General features: G+C 39.8%; 1 protein-coding gene across 2 annotated transcripts in view, besides 2 other annotated features; it reads left to right on the forward strand.

Moving 5' to 3' along the window:
• CLVS1 (clavesin 1) overlaps positions 1–16,217 on the forward strand; it is a 536,782-nt gene that overhangs the window by 297,628 nt on the left and 222,937 nt on the right. The window lies entirely within an intron of this gene.
• Positions 10,656–11,277: an enhancer, noted in NCBI's record as "NANOG-H3K27ac-H3K4me1 hESC enhancer chr8:62185690-62186311 (GRCh37/hg19 assembly coordinates)". NCBI's record gives its function as "activates a minimal SCP1, AML or CMV promoter by ChIP-STARR-seq in naive H9 embryonic stem cells {active_cell/tissue: H9 hESC(naive)}" and the evidence as "EXISTENCE:reporter gene assay evidence [ECO:0000049][PMID:30033119]".
• Positions 11,278–11,898: an enhancer, noted in NCBI's record as "NANOG-H3K27ac-H3K4me1 hESC enhancer chr8:62186312-62186932 (GRCh37/hg19 assembly coordinates)". NCBI's record gives its function as "activates a minimal SCP1, AML or CMV promoter by ChIP-STARR-seq in naive H9 embryonic stem cells {active_cell/tissue: H9 hESC(naive)}" and the evidence as "EXISTENCE:reporter gene assay evidence [ECO:0000049][PMID:30033119]".

Raw genomic sequence — 16,217 nt, forward strand, 5'->3', positions numbered from 1 at the left:
GCCTGGGCAACATAGTGAGACACTATCTCAAAAAAAAGTAGAGTCTCCAGGCCCATCTGATAAGAATTGAGAAGGTTTTTTATTACTTATTCTGAAAAGAGGAATTGTACCACTTCAAGGAAAGCACATGTGCTAAACTTGTCTTTGACTTCAGCACCTGGAAAGATAGAGATTAGGCATCCTCCCTCTGCTGACCAACACCCAGCTCATATTTGGATGAGTTTTCCCTTGACACATCACTTCTTGCCTCCCAGGTTGCAGGCAGAGTGCACAGTGACAGGGTGGCAGGCGTTCAGGATGCTCCCACCCTCCCTGTTCTTTACAGTTGACTTGCCCTTTCTTGCCTGAGGTCTACCAGGAGATTCAGAGCTACAGCAGCAAACAGCACTCGTTGCTCTAGGAGCCTGAGGCACTACGCATCTGCTCCTGATGTAGACACTAGAACTGAGGGTTGTTGGGGGAAGCTGCCCGTGATTTAAGATGATCTTATGGGCAATTTAGTTAAACCTGCTGTGCCACATTGTCTCAGGGCAGGAAGATGAATGTAATTTTTAGTGATTGAATCAGCTGGCATTCGAAAGAGCAGGAGCCAGAAAGAGTCACCTCCCTGGGAAACTTGATAGATGAAAAATGACCCAAAGATGTCCCCGGCTAAGTATTCAGCTTGATTGGCACAAGGTACTGAAAACCTCTCCATGTTTACAATAATTTACTTAAGATTTCTGCTAAAACTCCCTGCCATTTCCCCAGCAGAGGATGGGGTCTGGGTTTTATATGTTGCTATTTTTTACCCCCATGCTTTTCTTTGAATATAAATTATCAATTATTTGTAATAACACAAATATACAATTGTGGTTTAAAAATGCACAGTTGATTTTCAGTTGACTTTTGAATATAGTTTTGTATTTACATATGAAAATGTGTTTCATGCTTTGAGAATTCATGTTTAGCAAAATAATGAAGCCCCACTGGGTAGCTCTCCTTCAGCAAGTGTTGGAAGGCTGCTCAGTTCCTGTCTAACTCCTTTCGTCGGCTCTTATTTATAATCCATGATGTACTGAGATTCAACAGTATCAACCTTTAGACATTTTGGCTAGTAGGAGAAAGTTAAATATTTGCATTTCTACTTTTTCTTTTTTTGATGAAGTGAATGGAATTTGCAAACACTATAATGCAGCATACTAGGTGTCCTGAGCAGGCATGGCATTGCAGAAAGATCATAGGAATTGGTATCACAAGATATGGGTTTGAGTCCTGCTGCTTAATAATAGAGCCTTAGGCAAGCTATTTAGTCTCTCTAAGCATTAGACCTTCCTCATTAAGGGTTATCATTGCCAGTACCATGCTTATGCCATGGGATGGTTATGAAGATCAAATGAGATGGTAGATATGAAAGCATTTAGTAAACTGCAACGTGTTCCTTTCAAGCAGTCTAGGGTTCTGGCACTAAACAAGCATCTTGGGTTGAGGAAGTGGTAATTGTCGCAGAGATTGAGTGTGAGAGTTTCTGTTTACAAAGAGAGAGACTACCTGAAATAATTGCAAATGAACTTTCAGTGGACTTTCAAAAATTTCTCTTCAAGCTGAAACAGTGTGAAAAGGAGGTATCAGAACAGATACCCTCATGCCAAAATGAAGAGAACCTATAATAGAGGCTCAAGCTGGCACTTGAGCCTCTGACATTAGCTGGTTGCAGATCTTGTCTTTTTCTTCCCTCTGTATCTCTCTGGGTGATCTCATTCAATCCCACGATGTTAAATGCCGTCTATATGCTTGAAGACGCTGAATGTTCTAGCTCCAAATTGGAACTTTCTCTGAGTTTAACGATATGAAATGGGGTCTGCTCACCTGGTGCAGTAATACCAGATATGCACACCGAAGATTGCAGTGGGAAAAATGGAAGGCATTTATTTTCAGGGTGCCAAGCAAGGAGGATCAAGCAGCTAATGCTTGAGTCCTGACCTCCCCAGTAGCTTACAGGTAAGTGTCTTTTAACAGCAGGAGTAAATTTCAGGAAAGCAGAAGTTACAGGCAAAATCGTAAATCAATACATCAAGGTTACACATTGGTTTCGCCCTAAAAGGGCAGGATATCTTGAAGTGGAGGCTTACAGACCGTAGTCAGATTCAAAGATTTTTTGAATTGCAATTGGTTAAGGAAGAGAAGCTTTATTTTAAAATTTGGGGTCAGCAGAAAAGAATGTTAGCTCTGGCTTGTGAGTGTAACTTCCTCCAGGCCCCTCAGGAAGACATTTAGAACACAGAATGATATGGTCAGAGTTCAGTTTCCAGTTCCCCCTTCTCTGATGTCCACATACCAGCAGAGCTGAAGTTGGTAGGAATGGAGATCTGAAGTTGGTGGGAATTGGGGTTTCTGAAAAACAACTCAGAGACATACGTTGTGGGGTTATCTTTAGTTTCTATAGGAAACCAGCTAGCCCGTGATTCTAGCTTCATTGGCTATTGTTTTAAGCTACTATTTCTTGCTTATCAAGTTGTTTATTTACTTCTCAGAGCTAGCTAGGTGCCTGGAGTTTCCCTTGAAGGAACTCAAGATTTTCCTTTATTTCCATGCTTGGGGTCCCACAGGTCCATAAGGGGAGGTCCTGACTCCTCATGACCTCCAAACATACATCCAATTAAATTTTCAACATTATCACATGGATGTATGATAGGCATTAGAAAATTAACATGGCCTATACTGAGCTACTCTCTGCTCCTCAAATCTACTTCCCATCAAGGCTTATTTATCTTAACAGATGGCATTACCATTCACCCGCTGGTTCAGGCCCAAATTATGAGAAACATTCATGCTGGACTCTGCATGGAAGTCTGCCAAGTGTTCAAATCCCAGGTCTGCTGCTTATTAGCTTGGTGACTTTGGATCAGTTACTTAATCTTTCTTTACTTCAGTTTCCTTAACTATAAATGGGCATAATCTATATCTCCATTTTTAATCTGTAAAGTGAGGATAATAATACTACCTATTTCTTTGAAATTTTGTGAAGTTTAAATGTAAAGCACTCAATTTAGTGCCTAACACATCGTCAATTCTATGAGAGGCTTGTTGCTATTGTTATGATTTTCCCACAACACCTAGGTTTCACTAGCAAATGTTGTCAGCTCTGCTTCCAAAATATACTCTAAATTTGACCACTTCTCACTATTCCATTATCGCAGCCCCTGTCCAGACTGTAATTCCTTCTCTGTTGAAGTCCTGGATACTTCCTAACTTGTTGCCTGCTCCACTTACCCTCTGTTACTACAGAGCAGCCAGCATCTGGGCCCCTCACCAGGCCTGCTGGGCCACAGCCACTCAGGTCCTGCCTTCTTTCCCATCTTATGGCTTCTCTCTACCACATTCAGAATGAGCTAGCATGCCATGATTGCTCCTGTGCACCAATTATTTCTCAACTCAGTTGTCACCCCTTCCAAGAGATCTTCCTGTGTCTCCACAGAGAAGCCCCCTCACCAGCCATTGCCTGCCATTGTTATTCCATCTGGGTTTATTCCTGGCTCTTAGCAGGATCTGAGTTCTAGCAATGGACAGGTCTAAGGCTTCCTGTTCGTCTCCCCATGAAATGTCAGATGAGAGCCTGTCTGTTTTGTTGCTATGTCCTGACAATGTTAAAATTTACCTGATTTCTATGATCCTGAAGGACAGCAGAAGTTGAGAAATCCCTTTACCCTTTGTGTCCTGGGAAACAGCTTACTTTAAAAGAACCATCCTTCCCCATCCTTATCTTTGATAAGATTAACAGATGACCTCCCTTGTTTACTTGTGACAATGCCAGACACAAACCCTCCAAATTTTCTTTCTTTTTTTTTTTTTTTTCTGCCTCATAAATGCATAGCTGAACTGCTTTTCCCCACTGGCCAATCCCCACTGATCAATTGGAACAAAATGCTTGTTAACCAGATTTGGTTAATATCCTTTTCTTCCCCCAGGCCAAAGAACTTTGGCTCACATTCTGCTTGAGCCAGCAGACAGCCCCAGAGACTAGGTTGGCCTCTGGGTAAAACATTCTTGGACCTATCATCCAATCATGCCACCCTTTCATCCTATTTCTCCACATCTATTTGGATCCTGTTGAAATCCTCTTTCATCCTATTTCTCTACACATGTTTTTCCTAGCCTCTTTGCTCCTTCCTGTAAAAGAAAAGCCCTTTTTGCATAACCCTTGAGATGATTACAGATCAGTGTTGTCCCTGTGGCAATAGCTTCACTCTCCCTATGCAATGGTTCTTTTCCCCTCTTCCAATAATCTTTTCAAATAAAGTCTCTCTTAATAAATCCAGATTTGTTTTTTTATTTGACAGTCCCCAGTGTCTAAAAGGTGCCTGGCTCATGATAGATAGCTAATGGATATTTGTTATGGACTAAAAATAGATTGCTATTTGGGATTCTAGCCAAAATATTGTAGCTCTTTTTTGTCAACCCGTATGCCTGGTGAATCCCAATGCTTGTTGTTGAAATCCCAACACTGTGGAGCCACACAGAGGCAGTTTCACTTTGAACTGGCTGCAGGATGCAGAGACAGAATCTCAGGAGAGACAAGGCATTCAAGCCCAGAATGGGTGCCTGATGGTAGAAATAAAATTGCCATTAACCTATTATCTCATTTCATTTTATTCACTTGCAGAAAGAAATGCATGTTCTGATCATCTGCAGATTTCAGTTTCCCTGTTACCCACTCAGTCCTTCACAGCATACCACCAGCAAGAAAGATAAGCGTAGTGTGGGGGCATGTCTTTGTATTTATGGAGACTAACTATCCATGTAATCAAAGGGTATTATTATTATTATTTTTTAAGTTTTTCATTTTTCAATTATGTATTTATAATTTTATAAATCTTGTATCTAAATTTGTGTTGTGTTCCTGGCTGTATTTAAAAATTAAGATGCACAGAAACAAAATAGAATAAAATAAGCCATAAATCCATTCTCCATCTCCAATACATACACACATCTATATCCGTCAACTATTTTTAAAGTTTTCTTTGTTTTATATCAGTCACATTTAGCCTCTGTTTTTTGAGCATGGAGTATTTAGCCAACTATAATTTTATAGGGAAAATTATCTTCAGCCTTGAAAGATAGACCCATTCGTATTTCCCAAATCCTGCTTAAACAGCTGTGATTTAAAAAGCAAACAACTTTCCATACCAGTTCAGATTTTCCTCTTCTTGTGACTAATCTAAGCATCCTTCTCAACTGCAAATATATTAAATGATAATCATGACTGAGGTACATAGCTAATTTGGGTTTATTGCCTGTTTATATATATAACAAATGTAAGCTTCCGCAGTTAGCATGATTATGTTTCAAAACTCATAAAATAGGCTTTAATTTATTGTAACTATATTGTCATTTTGAGTTAATTTATTTAAGAAAATTCAGCTCACTGCTATTAAGAAATCTTTTTCAAAGTCGAGCATGAAAAAGGCTATTAATTAACTCTTTATTGATGGATCGATCAGAGGAGGAGACTTTGCCATTCATGGGCCCTGCTGGATACTCAACACAATATAAAAGTCTTTTTTTTTTATTTTTATTATACTTTAAATTTTAGGGTACATGTGCACATTGTGCAGGTTAGTTACATATGTATACATGTGCCATGCTGGTGCACTGCACCCACTAACTCATCATCTAGCATTAGGTATATCTCCCAGTGCTATCCCACCCCCCTCCCCCCACCCCACAACAGTCCCCGGAGTGTGATATTCCCCTTCCTGTGTCCATGTGATCTCATTGTTCAATTCCCACCTATGAGTGAGAATATGCGGTGTTTGGTTTTTTGTTCTTGTGATAGTGTACTGAGAATGATGTTTTCCAATTTCATCCATGTCCCTACAAAGGACATGAACTCATCATTTTTTATGGCTGCATAGTATTCCATGGTGTATATGTGCCACATTTTCTTAATCCAGTCTATCATTGTTGGACATTTGGGTTGGTTCCAAGTCTTTGCTATGGTGAATAATGCCGCAATAAACATACGTGTGCATGTGTATTTATAGCAGCATGATTTATAGTCCTTTGGGTATATACCCAGTAATGGGATGGCTGGGTCAAATGGTATTTCCAGTTCTAGATCCCTGAGGAATCGCCACACTGACTTCCACAATGGTTGAACTAGTTTACAGTCCCACCAACAGTGTAAAAGTGTTCCTATTTCTCCACATCCTCTCCAGCACCTGTTGTTTCCTGACTTTTTAGTGATTGCCATTCTAACTGGTGTGAGATGGTATCTCATTGTGGTTTTGATTTGCATTTCTCTGATGGCCAGTGATGATGAGCATTTTTTCATGTGTTTTTTGGCTGCATAAATGTCTTCTTTTGAGAAGTGTCTGTTCATGTCCTTCACCCACTTTTTGATGGGGTTGTTTGTTTTTTTCTTGTAAATTTGTTTGAGTTCATTGTAGATTCTGGATATTAGCCCTTTGTCAGATGAGTAGGTTGTGAAAATTTTCTCCCATTTTGTAGGTTGCCTGTTCACTCTGATGGTAGTTTCTTTTGCTGTGCAGAAGCTCTTTAGTTTAATTAGATCCCATTTGTCAATTTTGTCTTTTGTTGCCATTGCTTTTGGTGTTATAGACATGAAGTCCTTGCCCATGCCTATGTCCTGAATGGTAATGCCTAGGTTTTCTTCTAGGGTTTTTATGGTTTTAGGTCTAACGTTTAAGTCTTTAATCCATCTTGAATTGATTTTTGTATAAGGTGTAAGGAAGGGATCCAGTTTCAGCTTTCCACATATGGCTAGCCAGTTTTCCCACCACCATTAGTTAAATAGGGAATCCTCTCCCATTTCTTGTTTTTGTCTGGTTTGTCAAAGATCAGATAGTTGTAGATGTGTGGTATTATTTCTGAGGGCTCTGTTCTGTTCCATTCGTCTATATCTCTATTTTGGTACCAGTACCATGCTGTTTTGGTTACTGTAGCCTTGTAGTATAGTTTGAAGTCAGGTAGTGTGATGCCTCCAGCTTTGTTCTTTTGGCTTAGGATTGACTTGGCGATGCGGACTCTTTTTTGGTTCCATATGAACTTTAAAGTAGTTTTTTCCAATTCTGTGAAGAAAGGCATTGGTAGCTTGATGGGGATGGCATTGAATCTGTAAATTACCTTGGGCAGTATGGCCATTTTCACGATATTGATTCTTCCTACCCATGAGCGTGGAATGTTCTTCCATTTGTTTGTATCCTCTTTTATTTCCTTGAGCAGTGGTTTGTAGTTCTCCTTGAAGAGGTCCTTCACATCCCTTGTAAGTTGGATTCCTAGGTATTTTATTCTCTTTGAAGCAATTGTGAATGGGAGTTCACTCATGATTTGGCTCTCTGTCTGTTGCTGGTGTATAAGAATGCTTGTGATTTTTGTACATTGATTTTGTATCCTGAGACTTTGCTGAAGTTGCTTATCAGCTTAAGGAGATTTTGGGCTGAGACAATGGGGTTTTCTAGATATACAATCATGTCGTCTGCAAACAGGGACAATTTGACTTCCTCTTTTCCTAATTGAATACCCTTTATTTCCTTCTCCTGCCTAATTGCCCTGGCCAGAACTTCCAACACTATGTTGAATAGGAGTGGTGAGAGAGGGCATCCCTCTCTTGTGCCAGTTTTCAAAGGCAATGCTTCCAGTTTTTGCCCATTCAGTATGATATTGGCTGTGGGTTTGTCGTAGATAGCTCTTATTATTTTGAAATACGTCCCATCAGTACCTAATTTATTGAGAGTTTTTAGCATGAAGGGTTGTTGAATTTTGTCAAAGGCTTTTTCTGCATCTATTGAGATAATCATGTGGTTTTTGTCTTTGGCTCTGTTTATATGCTGGATTAGATTTATTGATTTGCGTATATTGAACCAGCCTTGCATCCAAGGGATGAAGCCCACTGGATTATTGTGGATAAGCTTTTTGATGTGCTGCTGGATTCATTTTGCCAGTATTTTATTGAGGATTTTTGCATCAATGTTCATCAAGGATATTGGTCTAAAATTCCCTTTTTTTGTTGTGTCTCTGCCTGGCTTTGGTATCAGAATGCTGCTGGCCTCATAAAATGAGTTAGGGAGGATTCCCTCTTTTTCTATTTATTGGAATAGTTTCAGAAGGAATGGTACCAGTTTCTCCTTGTACCTCTGGTAGAATTCAGCTGTGAATCCATCTGTTCCTGGACTCTTTTTGGTTGGTAAGCTATGGATTATTGCCATAATTTCAGATCCTGTTATTGGTCTATTCAGAGATTCAACTTCTTCCTGGTTTACTCTTGGGAGAGTGTATGTGTCGAGGAATTTATCCATTTCTTCTAGATTTTCTAGTTTATTTGCGTAGAGATGTTTGTAGTATTCTCTGATGGTAGTTTGTATTTCTGTGGGATCGGTGGTGATATCCCCTTTATCATTTTTTATTGCATCTATTAGATTCTTCTCTCTTTTTTTCTTTATTAGTCTTGCTAGCGGTCTATCAATTTTGTTGATCCTGTCAAAAAACCAGCTCCTGGATTCATTAATTTTTTGAAGGGTTTTTTGTGTCTCTATTTCCTTCAGTTCTGCTCTGATTTTAGTTATTTCTTGCCTTCTGCTAGCTTTTGAATGTGTTTGCTCTTGCTTTTCTAGTTCTTTTAATTGTGATGTTAGGGTGTCAATTTTGGATCTTTCCTGCTTTCTCTTGTGGGCATTTAGTGCTATAAATTTCCCTCTACACACTGCTTTGAATGCGTCCCAGAGATTCTGGTATGTTGTGTCTTTGTTCTTGTTGGTTTCAAAGAACATCTTTATTTCTGCCTTCATTTCGTTATGTACCCAGTAGTCATTCAGGAGCAGGTTGTTCAGTTTCCATGGAGTTGAGCGGTTTTGAGTGAGATTCTTAATCCTGAGTTCTAGTTTGATTGCACTGTGGTCTGAGAGATAGTTTGTTATAATTTCTGTTCTTTTATATTTGCTGAGGAGAGCTTTACTTCCAAGTATGTGGTCAATTTTGGAATAGGTGTGGTGTGGTGCTGAAAAAAATGTATATTCTGTTGATTTGGGGTGGAGAGTTCTGTAGATGTCTATTAGGTCTGCTTGGTGCATAGCTGAGTTCAATTCCTGGGTATCCTTGTTGACTTTCTGTCTCGTTGATGTGTCTAATGTTGACAGTGGGGTGTTGAAGTCTCCCATTATTATTGTGTGGGAGTCTAAGTCTCTTTGTAGGTCTCTAAGGACTTGCTTTATGAATCTGGGTGCTCCTGTATTGGGTGCATATATATTTAGGATAGTTAGCTCTTCTTGTTGAATTGATCCCTTTACCATTATGTAATGGCCTTCTTTGTCTCTTTTAATCTTTGTTGGTTTAAAGTCTGTTTTATCAGAGACTAGGATTGCAACCCCTGCCTTTTTTTGTTTTCCATTTGCTTGGTAGATCTTCCTCCATCCTTTTATTTTGAGCCTGTGTGTGTCTCTGCACGTGAGATGGGTTTCCTGAATACAGCACACTGATGGGTCTGTCTGTGTCTTTTAATTGGAGCATTTAGTCCATTTACATTTAAAGTTAATATTGTTATGTGTGAATTTGATCCTGTCATTATGATGTTAGCTGGTTATTTTGCTCGTTAGTTGATGCAGTTTCTTCCTAGTCTCGATGGTCTTTACATTTTGGCATGATTTTGCAGCGGCTGGTACTGGTTGTTCCTTTCCATGTTTAGCGCTTCCTTCAGGAGCTCTTTTAGGGCAGGCCTGGTGGTGACAAAATCTCTCAGCATTTGCTTGTCTGTAAAGGATTTTATTTCTCCTTCACTTATGAAGCTTAGTTTGGCTGCATATGAAATTCTGGGTTGAAAATTCTTGTCTTTAAGAATGTTGAATATTGGCCCCCGCTCTCTTCTGGCTTGTAGGTTTTCTGCTGAGAGATCCGCTGTTAGTCTGATGGGCTTCCCTTTGAGGGTAACCCGACCTTTCTCTCTGGCTGCCCTTAACATTTTTTCCTTCATTTCAACTTTGGTGAATCTGACAATTATGTGTCTTGGAGTTGCTCTTCTTGAGGAGTATCTTTGTGGTGTTCTCTGTATTTCCTGAATCTGAACGTTGGCCTGCCTTGCTAGATTGGGGAAGTTCTCCTGGATAATATCCTGCAGAGTGCTTTCCAACTTGGTTCCATTCTCCCCATCACTTTCAGGTACACCAATCAGACGTAGATTTGGTCTTTTCACGTAGTCCCATATTTCTTGGAGGCTTTGCTCATTTCTTTTTATTCTTTTTTCTCTAAACTTCCCTTCTCACTTCATTTCATTCATTTCATCTTCCATCACTGATACCCTTTCTTCCAGTTGATCACATCGGCTCCTGAGGCTTCTGCATTCTTCACGTAGTTCTCGAGCCTTGGTTTTCAGCTCCGTCAGCTCCTTTAAGCACTTGTCTGTATTGGTTATTCTAGTTATACATTCTTCTAAATTTTTTTCAAAGTTTTCAACTTCTTTGCCTTTGGTTTGAATGTCCTCCCGTAGCTCAGAGTAATTTGATCGTCTGAAGCCTTCTTCTCTCAGCTCGTCAAAGTCATTCTCCATCCAGCTTTGTTCCGTTGCTGGTGAGGAACTGCGTTCCTTTGGAGCAGAGGCGCTCTGCTTTTTAGAGTTTCCAGTTTTTCTGTTCTGTTTTTTCCCCATCTTTGTGGTTTTATCTACTTTTGGTCTTTGATGATGGTGATGTACAGATGGGTTTTTGGTGTGGATGTCCTTTCTGTTTGTTAGTTTTCCTTCTAACAGACAGGACCCTCAGCTGCAGGTCTGTTGGAATACCCTGCCGTGTGAGGTGTCAGTCTGCCCCTGCTGGGGGGTGCCTCCCAGTTAGGTTGCTCGGGGGTCAGGGTTCAGGGACCCACTTGAGGAGGCAGTCTGCCCGTTCTCAGATCTCCAGCTGCGTGCTGGGAGAACCACTGCTCTCTTCAAAGCTGTCAGAGAGGGACATTTAAGTCTGCAGAGGTTACTGCTGTCTTTTTGTTTGTCTGTGCCCTGCCCCCAGAGGTGGAGCCTACAGAGGCAGGCAGGCCTCCTTGAGCTGTGGTGGGCTCCGCCCAGTTGGAGCTTCCCAGCTGCTTTGTTTACCTAATCAAGCCCGGGCAATGGCGGGCGCCCCTCCCCCAGCCTTGCTGCCACCTTGCAGTTTGATCTCAGACTGCTGTGCTAGCAATCAGCGAGACTCCGTGGGCGTAGGACCCTCCGAGCCAGGTGTGGGATATAATCTCGTGGTGCGCCGTGTTTTAAGCCCATCAGAAAAGCGCAGTATTCGGGTGGGAGTGACCCGATTTTCCAGGTGCTGCCCATCACCCCTTTCTTTGACTCGGAAAGGGAACTCCCTGACTCCTTGCGCTTCCCGAGTGAGGCAATGCCTCGCCCTGCTTCGGGTCGCGCACGGTGCGCGCACCCACTGACCTGCACCCACTGTCTGGCACTCTCTAGTGAGATGAACCCGGTACCTCAGATGGAAATGCAGAAATCACCCTCTTCTGCGTCGCTCACGCTGGGAGCTGTAGACCGGAGCTGTTCCTATTCGGCCATCTTGGCTCCTCCAATATAAAAGTCTTGATGCCAGCTGTAGGGAGATAAGAGAGTCATTCTGAATATGTAAGTATCAGAAATGGCTAATTATTCTGGCTAAAATTTCTTAAAAATAACATTCAGAATATTTTAAACATTTCACATGGTATTAGGCAATCAACAGTAATTTATTGAACACCTTCACTGTGCCCAGCATTGTGCTGTGAGCCATTGGGTGATTAAAAGATGCTGTAATATTCATTCTTTCAGTGCTATTTTAGGGAATCTATTTCATTCTGTTGCCATCTGCTTGGACTAGATTAAATATTTCTTTGACTTTTTATATTCCCTGCATTGATGCTGAATATACTCACTTATTCTAGTGGAAATTAGCTCTATTTCCCTGAGCTTAAATCTTCTTGATAGTTATTGATAAGGCCATTTCTCTACCCTGGTGAATCACTTAACCAAGGATGTACTTAATTCTTTTGAATTTTTATCTTGTTGCTTTCTTCTCCCCCTGCATCTTAACCAAATTCTGATTAGTGAGTTCATTACCATTTGTACCTTATGTCTCTAAACATGTAGCGAATCTGAGATGTTTTCATCAAATCAGGAAAATTGCTACTTCTCTCTTTCATCACACCAAGATTGATGTTCAGGTCCCCAAAATTCATCTTCATTTTGAAGATACATCATGGCAAAGGAGCACACAATCGCTGGCTATTTTTAAATTTGAGTAGCTTAAAACTGATTTAAAACACATCCTTTTTGTTTAGATGGAGTTACTTGAAATTTGGTGCTACTTTCTTAAATTGATTAACACTTGTAGTTTCTTATGTCTTCATAATTCATGTTACAACTCTGTCCATTTCTCCAAGTACAAATAGGGTTGTCAGACAGCTTTAAAGACTGCAATCATTGAGTAATACATAAAGAGTCCAACTAAATAAATAATTTATGGGAAGGCTCTCTGGTGATGCAAAGAATTAATGAAGTTTTTAAAGGTGCCCAATTTGCAATCAGGAATATAAATTGCTCAGATGCTGGGAAATTTTGACTTCAAGCCAAAAATTAAAAAAAGAAAGACAAAAGGCTATAAATTATTATAATTGGAGTGGAAGAAAAATATTATCGAACCCAGAGATTGCAAACAGGAGACCTCTGGGCTTGGCCTGGCCTACAGATTGCTTTTATTTTTATTTTTTTAGTTTTTATTTTGAATTTCTTTAAGAAATACAAACTGATCTTCAGTCTACCACATGCCCCACCATTACTGCTGCCTTATTCCTGACCCCATTTATGAATTTATGCTACCTGCCTGGCACCTAGATGCATTTAAATCTGTGGCCCAGTTTTTATCAATAAGGAAATGAGAAAACTGTGAGTTAAGTAATTTATTCAAGGTAACTGGTTAGCAATATGTTTCACACACAGTTTACCTCCCAAATATCCTAATTACCCATCTTGCATCATTTCCACTGCATACATGGTTGTATTTATTGGAGAGATTAAAGTCAGAACAAACTAAAAATTTAGGTCGTTAATATAACACTTCATATATTTGTGAAACAACAAAAGTATGTTGGAAGGAATAGTAAAAAGGAAGCTTAGTTCGAAAGGTTGAAGAATTTGACAGAGCTAAGGGAGAAAGCTGAGTTGTGATCTTGAGTTCAATCCCCCCACAGGCTAAATTTATTGCTCATTTCGCGCAATGAAGAAAACAACCAATAAAAACCAATTTGATTATAGCATTTCTTTCTATAAGCTTAAAGTTAGTCTCTCAAAGGTCTTACCTTTACAATGCCATTCATCCCTCAAAAGAACAAACCACTGAATTCAAATAAATAAGACCCTATGACAGGTTTAGAAATTATTCTCTCTTAGCCGTCATGTTGCTCGTGCAATATTTCTTTATGTCAACAGGACTTCATTTTAAGAAGATCATATGGTTTTGCATAAGAGGCAGTGGTATTTCTTAATTTAAGTTGCCATTAATGTGGTTAATTGAGAGTCACTGCTACATCATCTAAGCATTAAAGGGGAAAAAAAGGTTTCGTTTGTGAAATTCTGGATTTCTTGCACTTTCTGACTCAGAACTGAACATCCATTAAGAAACCTATGCTTGGGATTTTCTAAGATACTTGGATTAAGCCATTAGCAATCAGCAGGGAAGGTGCCCACAAAATGAAGGACAAAATCCAGATTGGTAATTAGAAAACACTCTCCTGTCATTCTTGGTCCAACCAGTTGCCATCAATATCCACCCACATTAGTTTACACTCTATTTTCAATTTCTTCCCTTCCCTTCTTATTTCTTATTCCCTGTGTGGTCAATGAACTTGGAATATATTTTTCTTTTCCCCTTTGCTTGTTCTGGTTTTTCTCTTCTAGGGATAATCCCAAACAGTCCCAGCGGAAGGTGTATATGAGTTAGAAAGATTGCTCAAGAAACCCTTGCATTCATGCACCAGTAAAGTTGTACTTCTGGCAACATTCTCTTGTTTGTTTTTAGATCTTAATTAAACTAGACTCAGTTTTTAAACCTCCTCAGTGCTCCACGGCATTTTTCCATAGGCAGCACTTATCAGATTGCACTATAATTATTTGCTCACATATTCAGCTCCTTCTTTTGGCTCTATGCACCTCAATGACAAATGATTATGTCTTAATCAGGTTTGCATTCCTAGCACTTAACACAGTAAGTATTCTATTACTGAAAGAAAAAAATGAATAAAATGATACAAGATAATAGGTGTTTATGAAAAATCTTACTTTTTTGTTTTTAAAGATTCAAATGTTAGTTATTATGTAAAAACAGAAAAGTGACCTAATGGTTGAACTGGGAGGGTCAGGGAGGACAAGTTATGTATGGGATGGTGCCCTTAAAGGAAGAGAAGCTGGCTTCAGTCCAATGTCCCAAATAGATCCGAGCACAGTGGCTGCTATTGTTCTCTCTGTCAAATTTTTCCTTTGATGCCTTGTTCCTTACCCTTTTAACACCTCTTGATGTTTAGGAGAGCTGTTGCTCCTACTGGTAAATTCTTTATCAATATCTTTTTATTTTATAGCTTTTGACCTACTCAGTCTGATTGGAGTCAAGTCTTGCTGACTCCAGAGCCACATTCTCTCTTTCTCTCCACTGATATAGCACTTAGTATACCAGGCATGTTCTAAGCACCAAGCACTACCTTTAGGCTAAAGAATGAAGCTTTTGCCCTCACCCTGTGCATAGCATTTTCCTAGGATGAGGAGCTCAAGGTGCACAGCTGATGGATATCTGGAGTCTATACCACACTCCCATGTTCCAAGGACCAGGATGCAAGGATCTTCTGCACAAATTGTCCCCAAACCTGCATTCAGGGCTTGTGTGGACTTCTGCATAAGGTCCTGCTTCCTGAGGGTGCCTGAGCTACTGGTTCGGGGTCAGGTCAGATGAGCTTTGTTGTGTATGACGTCCGCACACAGATCTGAAGCCCCCAGTAATGCAGGACAAAGACACAGGTGAAGACAGAAGGGATGGTCTATGGGTGAGTATAGGGGAGGCTCTGTCTTTACTCTATTACTACTTTCAGCTCCCATAAATGTTAAAGCTAGGCCTGCTAGGTGCTTTATATATATGGCCTCATTTGTTCTTCCCAACAAATGCTTGGGGGGGTAGGGAAGAAATAAAGTTCTTATGGGGAAAACAAGATTACAGGGAATTACTGAAGTCTCAAGTAAACTCATCCTTTCAACAAATATTTGTTGATAATAACGTCCGTAGATTCTCAATTGGAATTAACCCCTGACACGAAAGACAGATTAATGAGAGAGAAACAGAAGTTTATTAGCATGTATTTGAATTCCAGCTTATATATCATCTTCGACAAAGAACAGTACTTTAGAGAAGTGACAAGACAAAAAAAAAGGACTTTGAGTCTCTGTGTGCAGCAACTAGTGGGAAGGCAAATAACTAGCAGGTAAAAGTTAGTTAGTAAAGCTTGTTAATGTAGAGTCCTCTGGTATCATGTCCAGTCCTAGAAGGGTCTAAAGCTGCCCTCAGTGGTTAACTTTTGTTCTTTCTAATGGTGGTTTGGCAGGTGAGTGGGGAGTAGATACCTATTGTCACTGTAAATCTATGCCCTAATTTTAGGCAAATTGTGGGGGCCGAGAGCATTCCTGCATCTGCTTCTTTTTAATTGTCTTCAGCTCAACAGTCCTTCATATTTCAGGAAGGTATATTCTGATCTCCCACAATAAACATAGTGGTGAGCAAAAACAGAAGGCCTTTTCTCTCTTGAAACTTTTTACATCTACTAAATAAAGATATAAAAATACTCCAGTAAGCTAAGGAAGCACTATGCCATTGAACATCTCTTTAAATAGCATAAGTTTACTGTAACACTAATTTCTGTTTACCAGTCTTGGATTGCTAGAAAATGTTTAGGCCCATCTTCCTCTACAATTTTAAAAGGATCCTCGTATAGATGTGTTTCCTTTTTTTGAGGATTTTCCTCCCATGTCTTGTTTTCAAAGCAGATATTCAAAATTTTTCTGATGTTATAACTTGGAGGTGTTGGACATAACTTTCCAAGATCTCTGCTAGTGTTAATAACACAAACTTATTTGGTTATATGTGTTAGTGAATGTCATCAGGGATTAATGTGTGTGTGTATAGATGTAGATATAGATATAGATAAAATATATTTTTCTTAGTGAAACAGGAGCC

Source organism: Homo sapiens, chromosome 8 (genome assembly GCF_000001405.40).
Source record: "Homo sapiens chromosome 8, GRCh38.p14 Primary Assembly".
Taxonomy (NCBI): Eukaryota; Metazoa; Chordata; class Mammalia; order Primates; family Hominidae; genus Homo; species Homo sapiens.